The 27,283-nt window shown below is 38.9% G+C and overlaps 1 long non-coding RNA gene across 1 annotated transcript in view; it reads left to right on the top strand.

Moving 5' to 3' along the window:
- LINC00824 (long intergenic non-protein coding RNA 824) overlaps positions 1–17,720 on the top strand; it is a 159,411-nt gene extending 141,691 nt beyond the window's left edge. The window contains exons 5-8 of the long non-coding RNA NR_121672.1: positions 1,175–1,246; positions 8,581–8,775; positions 16,143–16,213; positions 16,356–17,720. This is a non-coding gene — a long non-coding RNA (long intergenic non-protein coding RNA 824). The remainder of the gene's footprint in view (positions 1–1,174; positions 1,247–8,580; positions 8,776–16,142; positions 16,214–16,355) is intronic.
- Positions 17,721–27,283: the final 9,563 nt, after the last annotated feature.

The raw sequence follows: 27,283 nt of genomic DNA, 5'->3' as shown, positions 1-27,283 counted from the left end.
ACAACTCTGATGAGATTCTGAAGTGTACAGCTTTTGAATCATTGAAGGATTCAATTGTTTTTCATATAATCTGGCTGTAGGTATATATTTATTATGTTTTACTTCTTCAAAAATCAGCAAGTGTGAATTCTCATTTTTCCACATTCATTTATTAAGAAATGACTAAGCCCCATTGTCCCGGCCCTTTCACATATGTTGCTACATGCTATCCTCACAGTAGCCCCATAAGATTGTGAGATCACTATTATTTCAACCATGACCACCCTCACCTTGAGTTTCTTACACATAACATTCTTTCTACCAAGAATACTGTTTTCCCAGACATCTCCATGGCTCACACCCTAGATTTGTTCAATCACTTGCAACTCTGTCTAAAACAATGGCCCTCTGCCACCCACATCACTGACTTCCATTATTTCCATCTCATTTGCACATATTTTGCTGTTGATTCCTAGCACTGTTTGTTCCTAGCACACCAGAGCCAATCCCTGCAGGAAATGGTGCTCCTTCACTGATGCCAGGGTGGGTCCTCATTGCTCCCAGGATGGGGAAGATCAGTGCCAGATCTTTATTGGCTAACAAACCAGCAGAAATCCAAAACTTCTTGAACACATGTACACATCTAAAGACTTCTCTCTCTCTCTCTTTTTTTTTTTTTCAATTTCAGAACTCCTGGTTGGTGGATTGAACCCATTCTCCACCCTTTTCCAATTTCTGAATCAATCTACTCCAGATCCCTTTGCTCACAGAATGACAGGATGTGAAATAGTCTTTGTTTTGCCATAGCATTTTATTGGCACCAGCTCTTATTCTTGAATTTACATGTTTCAACCTGCCTCCCTCTTTTTTACAGGGTTCAATCAATTCCTTCCACCATCAGTTTAAATGCATCAAGAAAAACAGATTCAAGGCTAAATAAATTTGCCAAGTAATATGTTTATGTATATTTTCCATCCAGACCAGTGATGCAGGACAAAATGTCTGAGGAGGACTTTTAAGAGCTAGCTCTGTAGACTTGACGTTGATGTTCTAAAGATGGACACTGTTATCAATGGCAGCATTGATCTGGCTTCAAGTAGCCTCATAAGCAACAACTATTCATTTTACAGATATTTAATGAGGAACTTCTAGAGTCACTTTACAAACATGATTGCTTTTTTTTTTTTTTTTCTAGCCACAGGGAGCCAGGATAGGAGGACAACATGGTGGATCCAGCATGGAACTTACAACTGAGGCTAGTTTGATGGCAAGTGTGACACACCTTGTTAAAAATTTTCCAAAACAATGGGGCATTTTGACAGTGGTTTAAATTTTTTATTGAGCAGCCAACAAGCAAAAGTGTGGGTGGGGTTGTCCCGAGCCAGTGTATTTGGGATGTAAATGTAAGTTTGAATAGGTTTTAGCCACAGCTTATTGGGCAAGAAAACATTTAGGTGAAAGTGTAAAAACAGTAATTTTCTGTTATATGCAAGGATAGTACTTAGTGTCTGGGAAGTAGAAAAAGTAAATAAAGAAAAAGCCCTAGGATTTCATATTTATTCAACCATAAAGCAAATATTATTTGATATCTAATATGTTCCAAATACTGTTCTGTTCAAACTCTGCATCCAGAAACTTCAGTATTGGACATTACCAATAAGAACATATTCATGGAATCACAACCAAAAATATGTCTATTTCTCTAGTTTTAAATTGGTTTTCAAAATGATGGCACTTCTTGTTACATCAAAAAGCAGTCCTGAGATGTCACATAGGTAAAGAGTAAAGAGAATGAAATAAAGTTTCATTCAAGAAACCTGAAGACAGACCATAGAACACTATACTCTGTTTTCCAAAGACAACACAAAAAATAGCATCTGACCCTCAAAGGTATTATTTCGAGAGTAGAAGAGAAAAGGTTGAAGGTTACATAAGCAGCTTAGTATGTTGAAGTTATATAAACAGCATAAGCAAATGTATAGATCATACAAAATGAAGAAAAGATGTGCCCCAAGTCAAATATAAGTCAATACTCTCTAAAATTCCATTATGCATTTTTAGACCATCCTTCAGAGACCTTACTCAGTTTTTATTCAATATCTACATGTTAAAAGGTTAAGATGACCTCTGCTAAAACTAAGGGTTATTTTTTTTTCTTTTTTTTTCTTTCTTTTTTTTTTTTTCAGAGTCTCGCTCTGTCGCCCAGGCTGGAGTACGGTGGCGGATCTCGGCTCACTGCAAGCTCCGCCTCCCAGATTCATGCCATTCTCCTGCCTCAGCCTCCCGAGTAGTTGGGACTACAGGTGCCCACCACCACGCCCTGCTAAATTTTTGTATTTTTTTTAGTAGAGACGGGATTTCACCATGTTGGCCAGGATGGTCTCGATCTCCTGACCTCGTGATCCGCCTGCCTCAGCCTCCCAAAGTGCTGGGATTACAGGCGTGAGACACCGGGCCCAGCCAAAACTAAGGGTTATTGCCAAGGGTGTTAGTGAAGGATGTTGCCACTGACATTGAAACTGGTGTCCCTCTTGAATAATGACGCTACAACTTCGTGATCATTCATCTAGAGAAGTTAACAGCACATGCGGTTTGTTAAGAACAATAATTAAGGATTTCTTGAAACTGCCTATAAAGAAAAGCAGGCACTTGGTCAAACAGAAGTCATCGTTTTGGAGCAGGCTGGTTGACTGATGAGGCAGGTTTCATATAAAATGCAAATTCACATTTTGTGGAAACTGGAAGTTCGTTCATCTAAATCATTTCTGCTACAGTCTATGATGGCTTCGGAAAATTGCCAGAGTAGGGTTTTTATTTGATCTTTCAACATTATTGGAGGTCATATAAACAGGATTATATGAAGTCTTTCACTGTCAATTAATGTAATTCTAAATCAACATTCTGTCAACAGTGAGCAGATTTTACAGGGAAAGGAGGAAGAAAGAGGAGCTGTTTTTCCCCTCAAATGAATTGCCCTGGCTTTTAGTTAATTCTTAAATAAAAAGAGAGGGAGGGAGAGCGAGAAGGAGAAAAAGAAGAAAGGAAGAGAGGAAAGAAGGGAGAAGAGAAGAAGGGAGAGGGAAAACAGGGAGAGAAGAAGGAAAGCGAGTAACCTAATTTATTTTAAGGTGTTTTGAGAAAGTAATCTATTCCTTATTTTATCTTAAGAAACGAAATCCTAGAGTTATTGAAAGGTTAAAGACAATTCATTTTCTGTGAAAATTGAATGCCTAAATGGTATTCTAATTTTATAATCTAAAATGTAACCCCTTTTGAACCTAACATTCAGGAAACTTATTTTTAGCCAATAGTGATAGCACTGGGCACTAATTTATTTTTTTATGGAAATGGAAAACAGACCAAATTTCCTATATTTGCAGAATATCAGCCCTACTATTAAGTATAATTTGTTTGACTTACATTTGACTTCAAGGATTTCAGAACACTTCTGGGACAATACTTTCCATAAGTCTCTATAAATATGAGGAAGAATCCCCTTCATTTGAAAATCTTTACTGGATTAAATTTTCATCTTCTTCTTTGCAACTCCACAGGAAACCTCCCAGGGATGCATAAGAGAAGTTTCAGTGTCAAGTCAGTTACCTCACTTATATCGACAATTTCCTTGCAAAAAAAAATGATATATTTTAAGCTAATCAAAGTTGGAAAGAGTCAACAGATGAAACAAAATAATACAATGAATAGGTGCTTTTCTGATCTAGCAATCTATGAGCTACAGAACTGGCTTTTTTCAGGCGGTGTGTTTTGAACTCCAGAATACATTCAACCTCTACAGTTTGACCTACTGAAGTGGAATCTCAGTTCAGCCTCTTCGCCTTTGTGTGACCTCTATGTCTTCATTCATAAAACAGGGAAAATTATATTCTCTATCTCAGAGTTGTGATGAGAATTAACCCACATAATGTACCGGAAATGATTAGCAGTGTCTGACATGCTGTCATCATCATTGATGTCATATTCCTCTATCAAAATAGTTCCAAAATTAATTCTATGTCCAATATTATCTCCTTTAATTCCATTCTCAAAATTTTAGTAAGAATGAATTTTCCAGAATATGAACTGAATCATATCACTCTCATTCTTAAAATCATGTAATACTGTTTTATTGTCCAAAGAATAATGTCCATGATCCCTAATGTGTCAGTCCACATCTTTCAAAACCAAGCCCTTGCCCATTCCCATTACCATCTCCCATCCCGACTCACCCCAACTATTTCCTCTCCCTGTTCAGAACTTCTAGCCACACAAGCCATTTGATGATCCTGAATTCATCCTTCCACTTACTTGCACTCCTCTGCCTATACTTTCCTCTGCCTAAAACATTCTTTTCATTCTAACCCTCAAAAGTTTGGATCAAAACTGTTTTTTGTTTTTTTTTTTTAAATCAAGAAACCCTGATTTCAACAATGCACAGAGGGAAAGAAAAGTAATCTGCTCCAGTGATGTTCAAAGAGGAGCAGGTGCCATTTCACTTACCAAAGAGAGGATCCATTATGAACTCATCAGTCCTCCTGCTTTGTTCATTCCCATTGTGGCCTATTTGCTTGCACTCTTTTTTTTTTTTTTTTTTTTTTTTGAGAAGGAGTCTCCCTCTGTCACTCAGGCTGGAGTGCAGTGATGTGATCTCAGCTCACTGCAACCTCCATCTCCTGGGCTCAAGCAATTATCCTGCCTCAGCCTCCCAATCCCAAGTAGCTGGGATTACAGGCACCTGCCACCATGCTCGGCTAATTTTTTTGTATTTTTAGTAGAGATGAGGTTTCACCGTGATGGCCAGGCTGGTCTGGTCTCAAACCCCTGACCTTGTGATCTGCCTGCCTTGGCCTCCCAAAGTGCTGGGATTACAGGCATGAGCCACCATGCCCAGCCATGCTTGCACTCTTAATGCAATCATAATCCAAACATTCCCAAAGTCAGCCTGGTCAGCCTACAATACATCTTAAAGTACATCTGTGGCACAGATTGAAACAACACTTAAAGATATTAGGAAGTGATAAACATGTGATTTTGCTTAAGTAGTTACGTGGCTACAATTAAAGTTGAAGATAATTTCTGCTAGTGCCCTGCTAAACTGTGCTTGTACACATAGATGATAAAATAGAGATTTCTCAACTAGCTTTGGTAAATGGGGAGAAATGGAACAGATAGCTGAAATGTACTGATAATTTGTTTGGGGATACTATTGATGGTCTTTATAGAATCCATGAATACCTACATCCCCCCAAGGGCCACCCACCTTTTTTTATGAAGTCTCTAAGAAAGGTAGATGTATGTAAAAGAGAAAGTGGCAAATAAGAAACGAAATGCCACTTTATTATAATTAGGTGGGTTTTTGCCCGATACTCCAGTGATAAGCTCTTTGGTTATTTTGGATGGAGACATGGGCTTAGAACACATAGCATGGAAAGGCACAAGGAGCTTTACCTACCCTTCAAGCCCAGATGTAAAGCTGTGGTTGCCTCAGTAGTTCCAAGTAAAAAGAGACTTGAGAGACTAACACACTAGAGCATGCATTTGAGAAGAATAGAGCAAGATTAACACTCGGGGCTCCTCCTATGTATAATCATTGCCTCCTATGTAGGATCATTACTTCATCCAGCTGACTGTTTTAGCTTTCAAAGGTAAGATGAAGAAAGAGGTGGCTATGTAGGCAAACTTGTAATACACACAGTTGTCCTGCCCACTGGTATATGCAGTCTGGACAGTCTTAGAACCTGACTTTCCCTAGATCTTCCGACTTACTTTTACATGTGACCTTCTTCTGGTCCACACTGTGGCCTTCGAACTGTGGATCAAGTCTATTTCAGACTCTTTACTCAGTTTCTTCATCTTTCAATTGATGTATTAGGCAAGATGGATCTGTGGTTCCTTCTATCTCTGATGTAATGTTATATTATCATAAATAAACATTGCTTTCTATAAAGCAAGAACATTAGTAAGATCTGGCAGTACTTCTCCCAATAACAAAACAAAATTTCTTTAGATGTGAATTGTATTTTCATAGTCTTCACATTTCTCTCTCTAGGCAACTCTTTCATAAGAGACTCAATGAAAGAGGGTGGTTGATTCAACAAACTTTTATCCCTACTCCTGGAATGAAAGCCCCAAATACTCTTACTTCAGAAAGCTCAAAACATTAAAAAATTAGGAAATTTGCCCAATATGCTTTCTAGAGAATTCTAATAAGAATCAAAACAGTCAAAAACAAGGAATAAGCATTTCTTATATGAACATAATAAAATAATCGGCATTTTATACTTCTCTTCAAAGAAATCACAGTTTAAAAACATCAAGAATCATTTCTTAAAGCCAGTAAGTTCCATATTTAGTTAAACTAAGAGGCAGCTAAAATTCACAAATATATAAAAAGGCTGCCAAAACTGAGTTTGGTAGAAGGCAAATGTGGAGATGGGAGGAAGTGAAAAGAAGGTCTAGCATGTCAAATCTCAGAAAACATCAGCAACGACACACTTCCTAAATGTGAGGTTCATGATCTAAAGTGCAAAAGCTATCACCCTTCTTTGTTACAATAAGAGAACCAAGTGAGCAAGTTTGGTGGAGAAGCAGAGAAGGCACAACTCACAAAGAATCATACAGACCATCTAAATTTGCTGAGATTATGGTAACAACAGACAATAACTCAAAATATATATAAAGCAATTGTGCTGATTAAAGAAGACCACAAACAAAAAGGTAGTATCTTAGAAAATATATAACAGAAAGAGGTTAAAGCTAAGCTAAAATAGCTAAGCAACGGTGTAGAAGAAAAAAGCAAAGCCATCTTATGCACAAAGATAAAATCGAAGGAAAACAAAAGGTATAGATATTGAAGAGAATACAATAAGAGTCATAAAGGATAAAGAGAAGAAAAGCAAAAAGGAAGTGAAGGGACTGAAGAAAAAGAGGAGAGAAAAAACAAAAAGAGAGACAGAGGGAGGGGAGAGATATATCAAGGATGGAAAGCAGGCAGGCAGCCAGGCAAAAGAAAGAAAGAAACAGACTGAGAGATGAAGACAGAAAGAAACAAACTTAAAAAGAGTAGAAAAAAACCCTAACAGTAGAAAGCAGGTAAAGGAGAGCCAACATATGTATAATGCTTGTATATGCACAAAGAAATTTTAATGAGTCAGAAGATTCCAAGGAAGGCTTTTCACTATATAGCATTTTATAATAACATGAATTACTGCATGTAATTTTTTAAGCAGGAAGAAGAGAACAAGCTAGATAGAGGCACAATAGGAAGGAAGAAAAATAACAGTCTTGGTTCAATAATTTATGTATTCAATTTTATTACCACACACTTAATGAATGCCTATTATATGCCAAGCACTGTTCTGGTTACTGAGTGTGCAATAATTAAGAAAAAAAACAATAATCTCTGCCCTTATGAACTTTCATTCTAAGGAGGGGTGATGAACAGCAAACAAAAATATATTACATATCAAATGATAATATTAAAGAACTATCTGGAAAAAAAAAACATAGTAGGGGAGATAGAGCATGCCAAGGAAAAGAGGAGTTGCTACCTTGGCTAGGGTAGTCAGAGAAGAGCTCCCAGACACTTGTGCAGAGACCTTGAAGAAGTGAAGGAAGAAGACATAAATATTTCAGTCAGAAGAAATGGTAAGCATGGAAAACACTAAGGCAGAAATGTCTTGGTTTTTTAAAAACTCAATGAAGTATAGAATGGCCACAGTACAGGAAGCTAGAAATGAGTGGGAGGAAGTACCAACAGAAAAAAAAATGGGAACCAGGTTAAATACGGCTTTGAATATCATTTTTAAATCTTTTTCTTTGACTGAATGATATGGGAAGACATTGGAGAGTTTTAAGCAGAGGAGTGATATGAAATAATTTCTATTTTATTTCACAAGTGTCACTCTGGATACTGTGCTAAGTTAGCTACTACTTAAAAATAAGGTCAAAAGAGCAAAACACTCTTTTCATTAAGACAACCACTGATGTTTGGGGCTTGCCACCTTCCTGAAAAGTTATGCAGAGCTAGAATTTAGAGGATAAGCCCCTCCAAAATAACAACAAAAACAAAAACAAAACACATTTCCCTTCACTTTCTCCTTCCCCTGTGTTGTCAGTACAGAAAAAAAAGAGTGCGATGGAGATTGTCTTTGGGAATATAATGATTATGAGGAAGGTGTATGCTACCTTTCCTCAAAGTCAATGGAGAAAGATTTCATAAGCATTATAGAAAAGATTAGGAGAGATACTTTCAAGAAGAGGTTTTCATTCTTAGATTTGTTATCTAACCATAGACTTCTAAACCTGCCCCTCTGCTATCAGAAAACAAGAATGGAAGATTGGGAAGAGATGGCATAGTGTGGATCTGCCTGAAAAACATGCACAAGACCACTTTGCCTCCAAACTCAATTTCAAAATCTATGGAAGCTGAATCCCAAGAATGCCTGCAGACTCAAGGGTTATCCATGGGAGGTAAAAGAGATTGGAGATTTATGGTGTTGTTGAGATCACCCCAGGACCTCTAAAGCACAGGAGATGGGGTAGACACACAGAGGAGAAAGTAATGGAGGCACTTTCTTAATACCAACTTTCTGTTGTCTCCAGGACATGGCACCAAATCTCATGAGAGTGACAATAAGCTAGAACAGAAGTTTTGGAAAGCCAAAGAAAAGACTGTAACTGCACACAATAAACAGAAAACATTTGTGCTTTCTGTCTCCATCTATCACCCAAACAGTCAAACCTGGAGAAAACTACTTTTCCTCTCTACACCAACATGCATGCTATTTGCATAACACAGTAAGTACAATGATGTTGTATTGTGCATAGACACATATTTAAAAAAAATTAAATTCTACATGTAATATACAAAAAGGACAAGAAATTAGGAGGTAAGAAACTGGTTGAAATTTAGAAGTCTGTGATTCAATTAAATGCACGCATTTTAGATACCATGAAAGTGAGGGAAGGACTATGACCTTCACAAGGTTATACAAATAGTAGTAATGCTAAGTATAGAACACAGAGCTCCCTTCTCTCAGTTCATTGCAGGATCTTGCAAAGCTGCTCAGAGAGGCAGACAGCAGACTAATCATGTGATGTGAGAATGCGGACATATTTATGCTCACAGCTCCTTGTACCATCTCCAAAAATAAATGGTTGCACATAGAGAAAACACAAGCTGTGAACCAGACCTCTGATGCACTCACTCTATGCTGTTATGACAATAATTTATAATGTTATTGCAATTACAGTAGAATTATAGCACGCCCAGCACCTAATAGAGCTGTGTGCATACTCTTGAGAAAGACGGATGTGCTAGCATCTTGAGCTGCAGAAATGAGATTAAATGGCCCCCATCCCTGATCCTGCCATTGATTTTTGTAGCCCTCCCATTAACATGATACTTCGCACACCATCCCTGTATCGTTCCTCAGAGGTGAAGACATAGTTTTAGAGTGAAAATAATTAGACCCTCAAAATCCAAGGTGACAAATCTTCCACGCCTCCAACTGCCATGAATCAGAAGACATAAATCAAAGCCTCTTTTGAGGATGTGTTCCTGAGGAGGAAGACATGTTTGCAGAATGAACACTTGTTGTTTCTTCCCCTTTCTTCCTTTTGTCTTCTGTGCATTCTTGGCTTTGAATGTGAACTGGTTAGGATAGGTGGCTATATTAAATCAGGACAGTTTTGTTAGAAGGGGAGGGTGCTCTCACAGTAGGATAGCAAGGCCAACCAGGGATAGACCCTAGCAAACAAGGGCACACATTCATCCTGGTTGGGGGTTATAAGGGTTTACATCAGGAGTGTTGGTATATGCTCTGACTTCTCATAAAATACTTTTCTGTGGGTTGCTCAATATTGCTAACGAGATCATGCAATAAAAGATAATAAACATAATACTTACAGTGGCTATCTTTTATCGAGTGCCTACTTTATAGTACTGAATGTGTAGAGTAATGATTAACAACATTGGATTGCTTATCACAATTTGATAGGGTTATCAACTACCATGTCTCAGTCTTTGATAAATATAAAGCACTGTTACAGACTAAGCACTCAAAGAGATGAGCTATTGTTATTCTGTACATAGTCCTTTATATACATAACACTATGTAATCCTTTCAGGATATGAGGCAGATATCATTCGCCCAATTCTTTAGATGAGAAAACTGAGGCTCAGCAAAAACAAGCTCCCTTCCCAAGGTCACAAAACTAGTAGAAGTTGGAAAGTTTGCATTCAAACTCAAGCGTTGTCTAACCTAGACTTACGTACTTATTAATTTATCCATTTATTGATTTGACACCCTTTAGGTTTATTTACACATGTATTTATTTGTTTGTTTGCTGCTTACTTGTACAAGCTTTTCTCATTCCAGAAAGATTTACAGTAGTTTATAAAAGTACATACATTTTTAAAGGTATGTTAAGAAATTAAAAATAAAGGAAACACGAATAGGAAAATATAAGATGTGCCCAAACATGAAGTCAGTATTGAAAATATGAACAAGCATTAACTGAGCACATTCACTGTAGCTGACATCATGTAGGAAGTGGGAATTTAGAAGCAAACTGACAACGTTTTGTCTCTTCATAAATTTGAATTCCAATGGAGAAGACAAATATACAAAGAAATAATTACAGGGTACTAGGCAAAACTGGAGAGAACGTACAAGACCCAACTGGAGCACGTAAAGAGGAAACTTCACCATATCTGAATAACGCTCATTCCAATCTGGTATTTTCACAGTTGATCTCTTTGTCTTCTGTCTTCCTCTTCTGTCATGTAAGAAAATCTGCTATCTTGTTTCCAGCAGTATATCCTGTATCTAGAACACTCCTGGCCACATTACAAGTGCTCAATGAGTGAATGAATGAATGAATGAATGAGGATTAAAGAGTATGGTTTAAGAAGTGTTCAATTTCCCACAGCTTGAAAATTGCAGAACCACCCCACTATCTGCCCTAGACCCTGGAGGTGACCAGCACAGGTAGTGATATCCTATGAACATTAAAACCAGGCTGGCCAGGCACAGTGGCTCACATCTTTAATCCCAGCACTTTGGGAGGCCAAGAAACGCGGATCACCTGAGGTCAGAGTTTGAAACCAACCTGGCCAACATGGTGAAAACCCGTCTATACTAAAACTACAAAAATTAGCTGGGCATGTTGACTGGCATTTGTAATCCCAGCTACTCGGGAGGTTGAGGTGGAACAATCACTGGAACCTGGGAGGCAGAGGTTGCAGTAAGCAGACTGTCAAAACAAACAAACAAACAAACAAAAAACTAGGCTAAGATTCAAAAACAATGCACTGAGAGTGAATTAGCAAGTAAATATCAACCTACAAGCAAGAGAGGGGATGGTAATAGCTAAGGCAAGAGTAATACTTCTAGAAAAAAACAGCATGCCAAAGAGGAGTGATTTGATCTTGACACAGCTGATAATAAGAAATCAAGGTGTTTGAATTCAACTCCCTCTGGCTCCAGGTCTGGACTCTTTCTATGACACCACAACATACAGATGAAATAGAGCAGGAGAGCTGAGACAATGAGAAAGAAATAATAAGAGGTTTAGGGGATAAATGAAGGACAAAAGAAGGTGGAGAGTCAGAATATACAATACTTATCGATTCACTTAAAAAAAAACCAGATTTCAGTAAAGAGAAAAATTGCTGTGCATTAATCAATGCAGCATTAAAATGCATTGAAACAGTATGATGACCTTAGCTTTTTAAACAATTACACTAGTTTTAACTCCTTTTATTCATATTTTTTAAGTATAAACATCTCGCTATGGGTTTGGGAAATTGGTCTGAGAATCAGAATAGAATGCTTGGCCAATCTCTAGCAATTCTATATTCTAAACCTAGTTCCTTCAGTTGTAAAAGAAAGCAGAGGCTGTAACTTCCCCTCTTGGGGCTTCAGTTTCTCCTTGTGTCAAGTGAAGAATTTGAAATCAGTTATTCCTAAGTTTCTCTCCATCTCTGTCCATATTTCCAGGGCTCTAGACAAAAACAGGAGGCCTTGTTCTGGTCCCATCTCTGTGTCTTATTTTTGGCTCCACTCTCTTTTCTCTGTCCCATGTTTCCTGCTCTTATAAGTAGGAATAAAATGCTGAATATTTGCATAAAGCTTTCATGTTTGAGGACACCTGTTTATATGAGCTTGCTTTAAGGCAATGCCATCATCTGCCCTCTCTATCAGAGCCTTTGTAGATCAAATGAGGTCATGAATATGTATGTACTCTGGTAGCTATTAATTGCAGTAATATAAAATAATAAAATGTTTTCTGTGTTATTACTATTTTTACTTAGACTTGGTAGTATGTTTTCAAGAGAAGCAGAAAGTCTGTCAATATTTATTTTCAAGTCACTCTATAATGAACTTTGCAGTTAGTTAAGAATAAAATAAGGTAAAATTAAATTATGTGAAATAAAATAAAATAATAAAAGAGAAGATGTGGTCTCCTAATGTGTTGGGGAAGACAGAACATGGACCCAGACAACAAAAAGCAATCTAGTAAATAAGGACACCTAGAGTAAAAGGAAGAGTGGGTGGGGGGCCTCAGTTTCCTCATCTGTAATAGGGTAGTACAAACTGGGAGGAATGGGGGTGGGCAGATGGCCAACTCAAAAGCCTACAATGGGCCCAGGCCCATCTTAACCTGATGTTAGAAAATGGGGGGAGGCCTGGGATGGGAAGCAGGGGCTACCCAGGCAACTGTAGTGCATGTACACTTTGTATAAGAGGCAGCTCTACTGAGCTCCAGCCAATGTTTGCCCTGTATGATTTATTAGGAACAGAGGCCAATTCTTGTAAAAGATGCCAGAAATCTGTATTATGATGTAAAAATCTCTTGATTTTTAAATGTTGGTAACTGAATTTAAAAAACAAATCAAAACAAAACAAAAACCTCTTGCCAGAAAAAAAAAAAAGAGAGAGAGAGAAAGAAATTAAGCCTAATCTAAATATTTGGTAGTTTTTCATCTTTGGACTGGATAATCTCTAACTTCTCTTTCTGCTCTAACATTCTAAAGTGCCATGAGGTGCAAATTGGTATAAGAATACTGTCTGAAAATAGACCCATTGGTCCTGGGTGGTACTAACTAATCATAATTACAGCAATAATATTAACATCTTATACATATGTAACAAATAACTACTTGCAAACCACTTTGGTGCCCATCTTATCTACAATTCTCCTAGTAATCCATGTGCTAAGCCAGATATTAGAGAAACTAAAATCTAACAGAGGTTAAAGGACTGGCTTAAGATCCTATGGCAGGTTAAGAGCAAAACTAGGACTGAAGGATGATGTCTCAAATGTTATAGATGAGTATTTTCCTTACCAGAGTGTCAAAGATAAAATGGGGACCATTTTTCCTGCTGATGTCTTTACGTCCTCTGAACAAGGGGCACGTTCGGATGAAGAGTGGTGTGTGAGAGTCATTGCTTGCTAATTGACAGATTGGCAGGAAGTAGGTAACAGAACTTCCCTCCAGGTGTTGCCCCCTTGGGGCTTCCAGACTTAGAGAGAAGCCCTGGGGTAGGGGGTGCAGTGACAAGCCAGATCCTCCCAAGGCCCTGGGAGGACAGCAGCAGAACTTCAGTCATGGTGCTGGGCTGGGTATCAGTCCCTTAGTTACTGAATAGTGGGAGATCCCAGGATTTTGAAGGAGAGGTCAGAGCAGAGGATGGTGACATGGGCCTATGCGAAGCTCAGGTCAGCAGCCATTTACCAAACAGCATAAGCATCTTTCAGAACTTCAGCAGCCAGTGAGGATGTAGCAGAGCCTCCAGCCCTGGCTCTCAAGGGCAACACATTTTTAAGTGAAAAAGTTCAAGGGGCTTAGTGTTGTAAGACTTCCCAGAAGAATCCCATTTGGTGGAGTTTGTTTATTGGAAGGAGTCTTTGGGGATGACAAGGCACAGACTTCTCTCAAGGAATCAATAGGGAAACCTAAAGGAGAACATCTGTGAGTTCTACGTCTGGCAAAAGTCTATGAGTAGGGTGAGCACTTGATCATCTGGTTTGTGTTGGGTGGTTGCAACTTGACCTGGATTTTTCTTTCAGTCTTAAGAATGTCATCATTAGAAGGATAAATTAGGTCATTAAATTAACAGTAAGTGTTGTCTGACCAATGGAGAAATGTGGGAGAGAAACCAGGAATGAGAAATGAGGAAAGAGTGAACCTCAGCTGATACCATCATGAGTCAATATGATCATGAGGGCACGAACAGCACTGATTAAAGTAGACATAGACTAAAGAGAGAAAGACTAGGAAAAAGCTGTTGGACTCATTATTTGGTAAAATTCCTGAACAAGATGATTTCTATAGAAGTTGAAACTTAGGAGGAAGCAACAACAATAACAGTAGCTATCATTTAACTAGTGCCCACTAAATTCCAGGCACTTTGCTAAGAGGCTAGATTCTAATCAGATTTCATCCTTACAGCAGCAGTCTGAGGCCAACAGAATAGCCCCAAGTTAACAACGAGAAACTCTGGAACCCAGCTAGGTTTAATGACTGAATAAGAATGCATGCAATGAATAAAGCATTAAAAGAGCTCTGTCACACACTAGCTGGGAATACTTCTAACAAAAAACTGTGGAGCTGAAGGTAGGAAAGCAAGAAATGATTGTCCTTTCACTCCCAGGGCAATAAGGCTTTCCCTTCATCAACATATATTAAGTTCCTCCCATGAGTCCAGAAGGTGCAAGATTCTCCAAGGATTACCACTGAAATATAAGAAATATTTTCTTCACTAGCCATGGAAACTGTATTCTATGGTTGGAGAGGAGAAATGACGTCAGAAGCACCCTAACATAGTAAAAAGCACAGAGAGTCTTGAGTTGGATGCTCTGAGACTGATGCCAGTTTTGCCTAGTACCTGTCACATGTCAGGGGCTCTTAGTCACTTAGCTATTCAGACCTCAGTTTCCTCATGTGTAAGCTGGAGCTGGAAATAAGGTCAAGTGCATGAGACTGTGAAAATCAAATATGACCATGTAAAATTATCCTGTGCACTGTAAAGTAATTTTCTAAAATAAGCTGTTCTTCTTGTATGAAATATTTAGAGAAAATTAAGCAAGACACATAAGTGCAGTGCGTGTCCAAGGAAAACTAACTCCCAAGAGTCCTTACAGTCTCTAGATCAGTTTATAGTCTCTCAGTGCCTAGGGGTGCCATCTACCTCTGTGTGTGTGTACTTTCTTTCTCATTCTCTTTTTTAATTGAGAAACTGCATTTTGCTATCCCCTTTAGCTGTTTCATAGGGCACTGCTCTTAAGTGCTGGATGCCATTTCTGCTCTTCTGTTTCCTTTTTATTCAACCATGTAATAATTTTTCCATAGCTGGTGAGCTCACTCTGAAAATGGGGCCAGCAAGTTGCAAATCTCTGCGTACTGGGTGGAAGTCACTTGCCTTGATTTAAACCCTCAATAATGTATTTAATACTTAGTATTAACCAGTTCCATAAATATGTCAAATATAATGGCATCCTTTCTGTATGAGAAGTGACATCCAATAAATTATGGAATTTGTAGATTGCCTGCAATTCTATACAAAGTATGAAAGGCAGAAACAATTAATTGTTTGGTTGTGTGAGTGCCTACAGTCATATACATATATGTGTTTTAATAGTGTTGTCCTGAGAAAATATTGCATTGTGTATAGGCACACATCTCTCCTGTCACCTTAGAAACAATCACACCAGCTGATATAAAGTACTGCTTCTCACAGCTTTTGTCTTCATAATAACATTTTTGAAAGAATTTATTGGTTATTGTTATTTTAATTCACCAGCAATTTCATTATGATAATAAACCCTGAGGGTCTGCTTGTTTAGTTCTGCAAAGTTCTTGTCTACCTCAGCTCCCTTCCTCCTTAAGCTGAAGACATTTGTACATGTGAATGTCAAAAAGGTTGGAAAAAAAAAAGGAAGGGAAAAGTTGTGACAGAACAAGAAATAGGGTCTTTTCATAAAGAGGATAGGGAAGAAGAAAACAGTGGGTATACCACCCTCCGTGGACTTTATGCAAATCAACCACCCAGAGCTGCTTATGCTTCTTAAAAACAATTGCAAATTTCATAGAACAGCCATCTCCTGCCATGCACTGGACTAAAAACTTAGCAAGCATTATTTCGTTTTATTCTCAGTAACACAAGGAAGTGAAGCAATTTGCTCAAGATAATGTGTCTAGTCATCAGAAGGACTGGTCAGTGCCTCGGTGAGTAATTCTGTTTAATACTATAGGTTCTTATTAGACACTCCACTTGTCGTCCACAGACTTAATTTAAATCCTATGAGATGAAGGAAGGATTTTGATTTGCATGCATCTTACACTTTATCTTATTTCTATGTTGATTTAGATCTTGATGATGATGGATACTGCTTATTGGATACTCTCACATCTCAACAATCCAAACACCTTCCACAATGACCTGCTTAATCTGACCCCTGGCACATCTCAAATCACAGTCTCTGTCTGTAGTAGATAAAAAAAAATGGACACACACTTTGCAATACCACCCATCAAGAGATTAAGTAACTTTCTTCATCCCTTGAATCTAGTGGGCTCTTGTGACTACCAATAGAATTTGGTGGAAGTGACACTCTGCCTTCTGCAACAAGGCACCTGTGCTGAAGGAGACTTTTAGCCTCTGCCCTTGCCTCCCTGAATAGTGCCTCCATGTGAAGAAGACCAAGCTAACCTACTGGAGACATGGCTCCACCAAGAACCAGTAGCAGCTGCCTGGACAAGGCCATCTTAGACCACCCAACCCTAGTCAAGACAGCAGAATGACTGCAGCTCGGTGAATTGTGTTTTAAGCTGCTAAGTTTTCAGTGGTTTATTAGGCAGCAATACATAACTGAAATACCCTTTCACCCTCCCGACTTTAGGCTCCAGCCTTTCTGATCTTCTCTTAAGCCTTGGAACATGCCATTGACTTTTCCACCCTGAGACTTTGCATGTTATTCCTTATGCATAAAATACATTCCTCTTTCCACCTGTCAAATGGTTTAACTCCCTTTTATCATTTAGGCCACTAGCTTAAAATTCACATGCAGAGAGAATTCTTTACTGAGCAACCATATACCCCAGATTTCTTATTCTTCATATCAGGCTTTTCTTATTTTTTCATTGCGCATATCACAAAGGGCAATTAATTAATTAATTTGTTTGTTTGTTTGTTATTGCCTATTTTCCCCCTATCCAGATGTAAGCTCCATGAGAGTGGTTGGAGGCAATGTTTATTCTGTTTTCCACTTCACCTTAAGAGAGTGCCGGGAAGAGGGTCTCATCCATATTTCTTTGGATCCTTTTATCATTTTCCTGCATACTTTCACTGAGAGTGCTCTCATGTCCATCAGCCAGCACTTGCTTCTCTTTTCTGAGGGCTGCCCCAGGCTCCTGAAGTCCAGCTTGGATTGCCTGCATGAAAACATAGAGAGCTAAAGGCTGGGAACTTGCATAGCCTTAGCCATTTGCTAAGGAACGGGGTGATAACTGTAAACACTCTAGCTCCCTTGTTCCCTGATCAGGAAAACACTAATGTGTGATCTCCCTGTCTGCAGTGCTCACCTGCAGGACTTTCCTTGCTGGTTTTCTTCACGGTGTTTGTAATAAGTGCATTGTACCCTTGATTGCCTTTCTTCCTTGCCCTGTCCTACTTCTCCAGTTCTCTGGAGGTTTTTCCAGGAATGCTTCTTAATAAACACCACTTTCACACAAATCCTTGTGTCGGAATCTACTTCTGGGAAGGTACTCTAAGACAATGTGTTTGTGAAATAAATGTATTAAAGCAGTCCTTGATTTCCACACAATTGCTTTTCACATTGACACCCTTAAACCAATTTCACAATCAGAGCTCGGACACACTGCATCAACACCATATTTTGCAGTCAAGTTTGTGTAATTATTGCAATGTTTTATTGCAATTTGTCCCAGTGTTTTATAAAGATGAGTGGGAAATGGTAATAAATGAAAGCACTGACACTAACAGTAAGCCAATTGGGACAAAGATAGATACCACTTGTGTGCTGAAAGTGAGGAATTGTTGGTAGTATTGGAAGGTTCCACGGACTGAAGCTGACCATCTGGAAAGTAAAGACCAAATACCAAATTAAGTCACACATAGGAAATTCGTGAAACAGATCATCAGGGACAGTATTAAAAGATGAGTTTTATTGAAGAGTCTGAAGAAGTCTTTAAAAGTAGGGAAATTATAAAAGTTGGCACCAAAAAGCCTTCCAGATATTTACCAAGGCAGAGAAGTTTACAGAACCAGAGAGCAGTTCTCAGGAATGGGCTTGCTTTGTGCCCCCTTGTTGAGAGAAAAAACAGTCTTGTGCTCAAGACTCGCCTGACAGATATTTCAAGAAATCTTCTAAAATCCTATCAAAATCACCCTCACAGTCCCATGCTAAATTATCTACTCAGTCTCTTGCAAAATCACTACCAGTCAGTCATCCTCCTGCATTTTAAAATAAATTTCTTCTGTTTTCTAATGTCACTTTAAATAAGCTAGAAAAAAAATAGGTTCTTTGGGCAAGAAATTACACAAGAAAATGAATTCTACTTGCATTTAAAGTTCAAGCCAATTTTTAATGTTTTAAATAATCATTTTTGCATAATTTAAACTTTTAGGAACACTTTTGGATTCCTTGGAACATAATCCTCCCATATCACATGCAAGGTTTTGGGTGCTTTCAGTTTTGTTCATTTAGCTTTTATTTTCTTTCTTTAGGATTTGATGTGTTATGCATGGTAGAAGAAACATCCATAGTCTGACAGAGTAAGATATAAATCACAGCTCTGCCTCTAATTATGCAACCTCTTGGTAGCTTATTTTTCTGAGCCTCAGTTTATATATCTGTAATAATCCTTCCCCTGTAGTCTGTGGTGAGGAATAAGTGAGGGAACTGAGATAAAGCATATAGGGCAGAGCTGGCACTCAGTGAATCTTAATTCTCTTTTCTGGGTTCCCCATCACAAAACAGTTGGGTTGAAAGATTTGTCTAAGAATTGGACTGCCTTGGCTTGAAGACAAAGTCTGAACTCCTCAGCCTGACACACAGAGCTTTACGTGATTTGACCTCCATGTATCTCTCCTAGCTCAACCGACTCCTGTCCTTCACCACAAGGCTTACCCTGTTCTCTCTGTCGCCAGGTTGGAGTGTAGTGGTGCAGTCTCTGCTTACTGCAACCTCTACCTCCCATGTTCAAGCGATTCTCCTGCCTCAGCCTCTTGAGTATCTGGGACTATAGGTGCGTGCCACCACACCCAGCTAGTTTTTGTATTTTTAGTAGAGACGGGGTTTCACCATGTTGGCCAGGATAGTCTCAATCTCTTGACCTCATGATCTGCCTGCCTCAGCCTCCCAAAGTGCTGGGATTGCCGGCGTGAGCCACCATGCCCGGCCATGGCTTACCCTGTTCTAAAGGAGCATAAGGAGCTGCTCACTTCTCCCCTGGACCCCATCCAGATGAGACATCCACCTAGACTCCTGGAGTCCCCACGTCCTCCAGGCTGGGCAAAGTATTTGTCCTGTGCAAGTGCCCACACACCTGGGTCTCCCTTAACACAGCACTTGTCATAATTTTGTAAACCTCTTTAATGCCCATCTCCTATTTTAGATTATAATCTCCTCAAATAGGAATATTCCACTACATTATTCTTATATACACCAGTCACTGCTCTAAGCTCTTTCCATGTTGACCTCATTTTACTATTCTTATAACCCTATAAGATATGCATCATCATTAGCCCCATTTTACAGGTGGGAGAAACAAAAGAAAAAGAAAAGTTAAATGATTCTGTCATGATCAAATATCTAGCAGCAACAGAGCAGGCTCTATTATCTCCATGCTATAACCCTATCTCTTGTCGCAGTGTGGGATGAGAGACCTGCAGATAGTCAATAAAGGCAGAGTGAACAAGTTATTCCATGCCAGGGAAGAAAATGACATCTGAGCAGGGATATAAATAGATTGAGACAAAAACACACACTGCCAAGGTTTATTAAGAAAAAGGCAAAGAGCTGGCAAATAAAACCTAGAGTTTAGGAGAACCTCCTACCTCCAGTGTCATCAGTTGATTCTGAAGCAATGGGGCATGCACCTGAATCCATTGTCTAGCTATATGACCTGCCCCTTGCAAATCTTCAGTCACTTCATCTATTAAACAAGAGTAATGAATGAACTCTGAAGCCCTCCCAAGAGGAAATGTTTATGTTCTGTGATTCTAACAGAGAAATCTGACTTTAGGGACTTGCATTTGCTGTCTCTCTGCCTATCAATGGTCACCTTCTCATCATTTCTATCTCAACAAAAATATCAATACAGAGTAGTGGTTAATAGCATCAACTCTGAAATCCCGGTGTTGTTAACTTTTAAGCAGTGTGATCTTAGATGGGTTACTTAACTTCTCAGTACACCGCTTCTGCATATCTGTCTCTGCTACTGGAGAGAGGGCTAACATATTATTGCTTAAATGCCTAGTGCCTAGAATCCATATCTTGTAGTCGTGGCCATGGGAGGAAAATGGAAATTGTTTCCAGATTTTTTATTTTTTTATTTTTATTTTTTCCGAGATGGAGTCTTGCTCTGTCACCCAGGCTAGAGTGTAGTGGCACGATCTCGGCTCACTACAACCTCTGCCTCCTGGGTTCAAGCAATTCTCTTGCCTCAGCCTCCTGAGTAGCTGGGATTACAGGCACCTGCCACTGTGCCCAGCTAATTTTTGTATTTTTAGTAGAGACAGGGTTTCACCATGTTGCCCAGGCTGGTCTCAAACTCCTGACATCGTGGTCTGCCCGCCTTGGCCTCCCAAAGTGCTGAGATTACAGGCGTGAGACACCACACCTGGCCTGTTTCCAGATTTTTACCAACTCATGGCACATTATTATTTAAAACAATCTAGTCCCCCAAATAAAAACCAATACTAAATATAGTTAAAGATACAAGTAAAAACAGAGATAGAGACAGAGCTATAGGGACTCAGAGGTAATTTTCTCAACACTATCTCCCACCTGTGAGTCAATGATTGAGTGAGACAGCTATCATAAGTGTAGATGACTAATCATCCTTACAGTGTTATGTTCCGGTCTAATTTGGAAAAAAAAAAAAAAACCTGACAAAAATCAAAATGTTCTGTACCAGTTCATTAAAGGACAAATGTAGGGAAATATTAAAAGTAAGATTTTGTAAGTAAGATTTAATTTCCCTTTAATTTTCTTGCTTGCTATTTTACATCATATGGAGCCTGGTCCAATTTGCATATCCAAAGACTTTCAAACATAAAATTCACACTTTCCCCTGATTTACGTTAAGTGAACTGTTCTTTACCAAGTCAGTTGATTTAGGTCTCTCTTCAACTTTTCAAGAAAATGAAAATGGGTAAGAAGATGAAAAGGAGGAGAAACAGGAGGAGAAAAGAGATGAAAAAGAGAGAAAGTGGAAGAAAGAGAAGAAAATTAACCTCTGAATTAAAGCTTACAGTTTTAACGACAGACAAAATATCAGAATCTTTTGTCCTCAAAATGAATAAAGCCAGAAAAACATTTACTTAGATATGACAAACTTTACACATCCCCCATCGTACACAAATATTTAAATATTTACCTGTCAAGGTATGATATGTGTGGTATTACGTTAAGATATATAGACTATTTTCTAGATAAAAGCTACAAAGGAGTATCAAAGTAATACAGAAGTTGAGTATCCCTTATCCGAAATGCTTAGGACTATAAGTGTTTTGTGTTTGAGGTGCTTTTGTTGTTGTTGTTGTTGTGTTTTGGTATATTTGCACTATACTTATATTAGTTCAGCATCCCTAATCCAAAAATCCTAAATTTGAAATGCTCCAGTGAGCATTTCCTTTGAGTGTCATGTCAACACTCAAAAAGTTTCAGATTTTGGAGTGCTACAGATTTCATAGCTTTGGATTTGGGCTGCTTAGCCTGAAATATGATTATTAATACTCTGTGTGTGTGTGTGTGTGTGTAAGTTGATAGACAAATGGAACCTTAAATTTGGTAGAGCAAATAAAAACCTACCATCTCTTAATTTTCAGAGAGTTTTAGAATCATGGAATGTGTCATCTTGAGGTCAAAGTAATTATTTTAATATTAGGGACTGGAAGCCCAGGGAGAAAAGCTCTGCCATCAGAGGGGCAGGGATAGCTGGATCTTCACCAAGGGTTTCTATTTTACTTTGTGCTATAGAGTTGCTGCTGAAAAGTGGCTGTCCATTTCCCAATCTCCCTACATCCAGGTGAGGACATGAGATCACTCTTATCAATGGACTTCTAGGGCAACCACAGGCATCCACCCCAGGCATCTCAGTTGCCTGAACCATCTTGGGTTTAAAAGTAACTGTGCTCCCTCCAATCTCCCTTCCCCAACTTTCTGACTGAATATAGAGAATCCGGAAGTTCTTCAAGATGGCGATGCCACAAGATGGAAAAATCTTGTGTCCCTGAATTATTAGGTGGAAAAATGTCCACACTTAACCAAGAATGACTATATAGAACTTTCTTTGTGAGCAAGAAATAAACTTTATGATAACCAACTGAAAAACTGAGGAATTTGCTTGCTTCTGTGGCTAGTGTTCTAACAAGTAGCACAGATCCCTAGATCCAAGATTACAGACCAGATGTGCTGATCGCCCTTCCAGTATTTATTTCATTATTCAAATACATTTGTAGAGTCCATAAATTCTTGTGTCTCTGGATGCAGTCCAGATCCCGTTACTGGCTGTATCTTTTACCTCCTTATCCCAAGAACCTAGCACAATGTGACACACACAGTAGATACTCAATAAACACTGGTCAAGTGAAAGGCCATCAGTTATCTCAACTGTAAACAGGGAATTATAACTTTTTAAATACTTGAAATTAAGATAATGGATTGTAAGATTTTGTGAGTTCTTAATGCTCTGAAATCTGTAGAATCTCTACTTCAATAAATCCTCTATAGTCTTCTGCTTTGATGTGTTTTCAGTTTATCATTGGCTCTGATATTGTAAAATTTTAATTGTGTGATTTTTTCCTAATATTTATCTATGTTTGGTACTGTATGAACTATCTGGTTCTAGTTTGAATTGAGGGAAAACATGGCTCTCTATAATTTACCAATGCAAGTCAGAGAAGCTAATATTTATTAAGGAATCGATAAGAAAAGGCTAAGTAAATTGTGTGATTAAGTCCAGACATTCTGTTTAGCATATTATATATGTCTGCTATATTTTTATTTCATAGGTAAGAGAACATATTTAGAAAGATTAAGTAACTTTTCCAATGCCAACTACTTAGAAAATAGTGGAGTTAGGATAAGAATAGAGATCTCTCTGATTTAGGAGTCTCTGATTAGGGTTTCTAATTCTCCAGGCTCAGCCACCCAGTTGCATGCAACAGAGAAAGACTCTGGCTAACCTATACAAAAAGGAAATGTATTAGGATTGAAGATGAATGTAAGAGAACAAACCTACCAACACAATTAAAATGGAACAAGGATCAAAGCAGTTCCTGGAATTCAAGGACAGTCTCTTCTTCAGAGGGCATTTGGAATGGGGACACATCAGCTTCATCTGTTTTCAGGGTTTGTGTTACTCTACTCAAGAGACGTATTCAATGGCAAAAGACTCTGGCCTCATTCAAGTCACCTGCCCACCCCTTGTCAAGGAGAGAGTGGGACACCATGGGGGGCAGTCCCACCAAAACTCTAGTCAATGGAATGAGGTAGTCCCCAAAGTAAAACAAGTGTTCATTGCTAGAAATAGGGGGAATGGACATTGAGAAGGCTAAAAAAGAGACGTCCACTACAGCAGGATGCAAGAGGAACATATGACCTGTCCTGAAGCTACCAAAAGCTACAGGGCCAACAAAATGCCAAAAGATGTATTTCTATCTCCTCCCTGTACTCAGCCAAGCTCTGGTTCAAATCCCTCCCATATTTAAGAGGATAGGCTCTGCCTTGACTCTAGACTAGAATCTTGTTATTTGCTGAATTAGTCTATTCTCGTTCTGCTAATAAAGACATACCCAAGACTGGTAATTTATAAAGGAAAGAGGTTTAATGGACTCGTAGTTCCACATTGCTGGGGAGGCCTCAAAATCATGGTGGAAGATGAAGGAAAAGCAAAGGGACACGTTACCTGGCAGCAGGCAAGACAGCTTGTGCAGGGGAACTCCCCTTTATAAAACCATCAGATCTCATGAGACTTATTCACTATCATGAGAACAGCATGAGAAAGACCCACCCCCATGATTTAATTACCTCCCACCAGGTCTCTCCCATGACACGTGGGAATTATTACAATTAACGGTGAGATTTGAGTAGGGACACAGACCCGAACCATATCATTCATGTACTAACTGTGTTTGGGCAAACTAAACCTTTGAAATTCTCAGTTTTTCACCAGGGGAAAGGGCTAGTTTCTATCCCTTATATACCCAGTTTATAGGGTTGCTGTGAGAGTTCAATTCAATAATGCAAAGAGCTTGTTGCATAGCATCTAAAGCATTCAAAAAATTCAGTAAGTGTTATCTATTACTACTATTACTAAACTACCAGGGTGCAGTTCCTGTCCTTCCTCAAAACACAGAACATTTGTGAACAAAAGTAATGGTTTTCAAATGTCAGTCCATGGTCAAGTACTCAACAATCTGCAATAAAATGAGAAAAAAATGAGTGAAATTATTTTTATGAAGCTAAATATATTCACTTTTTTAAATGTTAAGATCTTTATAAATTCATAGTGATAAAGTAATTGTTTGGGAATTTTGAAAACGTATTTATGTATTTTTAATTGCCAAATTTAAAGGTCTTCAACTTTATTTCTGTCCATAAGTTGTTTTCATTTTTACTGGCCATGGATCTTGAGACCTGAGAACACGTTGCTCACGTCACTTTATCAGTATCCTTTCCAGATGCTTCCCCCATGGTGTCCCTTGTATTGGAGTTCTTAGTCCCTGTCCCCTTGTTCTCTATCCCCAACTTCATTTTTCTCTGAAGTATTATTTCTCTGTGAAATTACACATTTTTTATTTATGTATTTATTGTCTGTCTTCCCTTTTAGAATGTGAGTTCCAGGAACTATTATTAAAACCTGTATCTTCAGCTCTTAGCATAGTCCCTGACACTTTAATATATTAGTCCAAAAAAACAAAGATTTTAGAAAACACAAATGAATAAATAATGCAGAATTCTGTAGCTGAAAAATCCTGATTTTTAGAACCAGATAGAGCTCATGTCAAAACCAGCTCTGCCATCGTTCTCATCTGCAATATGTCCATAAGGGTTATTGTGAGGGTTAAATGAGAAAATGAAAGCAAATTCCTGCATATGATAATCTCCCCTCAATTGCTATGTCTCTGGCCCTGGCTTGACTTTAGTATTGTTCCAAAATACTTTTTTCAAGTTTAATGTCCTATTCCTTCTGCAGAGGAGAAAAAATAATACCTTTCCCTCGGCCATCACAAGAGTCATAGCTGAGACCCTTGTAACAAAACACAGATTAATTTTTAATAAGCATAGAAGATTCACTTATCAAAGTTTCACTTGACACAGGAGCCTTCAAAATGGAGACCCAAAGACTCAGGGAAAATGTGTTTTTATGCTTAGGTTCCATGAAGAACAGACAGCCATGTAGAAGTATGATTGAACAAAAATGTTATGATCTAATGATAATAAATGAAGAGAAACTCAACAAGGCCTTTCTGTTTAAATTTTTCTTGGTCTCTCTTGAACAGCATTCCTTCCCCCCACATATGGGGCAGAACCCTTTGGAATGAGGGTCTTATGATCTACTTTCAGACAAGGTAGATCAGAGAATTCCTTTATGACCATGCTTCACATAGAAAGGCTGGGGAAGGTCAGAGTGACCTTCTTACTCATGAGTCTTTCTCAATTGCCAAGGTGCCAGGAGGTATCATGCTCTGAGCCCCAACACTTCAAAATCATATCCCACAGGGAACACATTCTACAATCCTCTCACATCCTGCTGCTTCAACAAGCACAGTCTGGATTAGAGATGGTGCCTCATTAGCATAGGTGCAGACTGCACCCATCCACCAGTCACAGGCACCCAGAAGGACACATAGTCTCCCTGGTAGAGACCTGCCTGTCTTGTTTCCTGCTGAGCCCCAGAGCCAAATGCAATGGCTGGCACACTGCAACTACCCTGCCATCACTGGCCGAACAAATGATTCTGAGTGGCTGGGGATGATAAGAGCAGGCAAGACCTGAAGACAAGAACACAAATTGGTACATCCTAAAAAGCATGTGGGAGTTGGGCAGCTAAAGAGAAAAGGGGGTCTCTGGGAGAAGTAAAGTGACAGAAGCAACACAGAAAACACAAAGGAAGGCCTTCCTGTTCTGCAATGATCAAGGCTTGTGGGGAGAACCGAGAAGTGGGAGATGGCTCTCAATTTCCTGGATGGTTGTTTCTTTAAAGGAAAAATCAAATGAAATATTACCATTCTCACTTGGAGAGTTTTCCATTTTCATAAAAAGCTGCACAAACTTGCTAGGAAGGTCTGTTTGCTTCTCCTGAGAGGGCAGAACCTTCACCTTCCCAGTCCTGCTGTAGGAATGTTTGACTGTTCTCTCCTGTCTACTTTCCATTCAGGTCCCAGGACAGACATATAGTGTGGTGTGGTGGAAAAAGACCTGGCATTTCAGTCAAGAGACTCAATTTGGCCTTCCTGTGACTTCATTTCCTTATCTGTAAAGTGGGCATAACAAAAAAAGTCCTATATAGGGGGGCCCTTCAGAGGGATAAATGTTATTATGTGCTCTGCACATACTGCGGAGCAGAGTAACTGTGCCTGCAACAGAGGCAGCCCTCAATAAGGGTGGAAACTGGGTTTGTGAGTCTAGGCACAGTTGTATTCTGGGAAACTTTTCTTCATCTTTCTGTCTTCACTTTCCACGTCTGAAAAAGAAAAGATGGTGATGAACCAGATCCAGCTCTAGAACTCTTTGAGCCACTGGGATATATATACGTGCTTGGGGGTTGATTGAGAAAAATAAGTCCTTTTCTTGATTTTTATGATCAATCATACCTTAGCATGTTCCCAACAGCCAAAGCTCCAGGATTACTGAGAGAGATTATTGTCTCAGTAACTTTTAAAGTTGGAAAAAAGAAGGAAAATAGGAAAGAGAGAGGGACAGAAGAAAGGAGGAAGAGAAGAAAGAAAGAAAGAAAGAAAGAAGGAAGAAAGGAAAGGAGACTCCAGCTCTACCCAGCTGGTCCTATGAAGTTGATTTGTACCCTTTGACCACACCTGGATAC

Source organism: Homo sapiens, chromosome 8 (assembly GCF_000001405.40).
Source record: "Homo sapiens chromosome 8, GRCh38.p14 Primary Assembly".
Taxonomy (NCBI): domain Eukaryota; kingdom Metazoa; phylum Chordata; class Mammalia; order Primates; family Hominidae; genus Homo; species Homo sapiens.
Note: the sequence above shows the minus strand (reverse complement) of the source record. Positions and strands in the feature narration are given on the sequence as shown.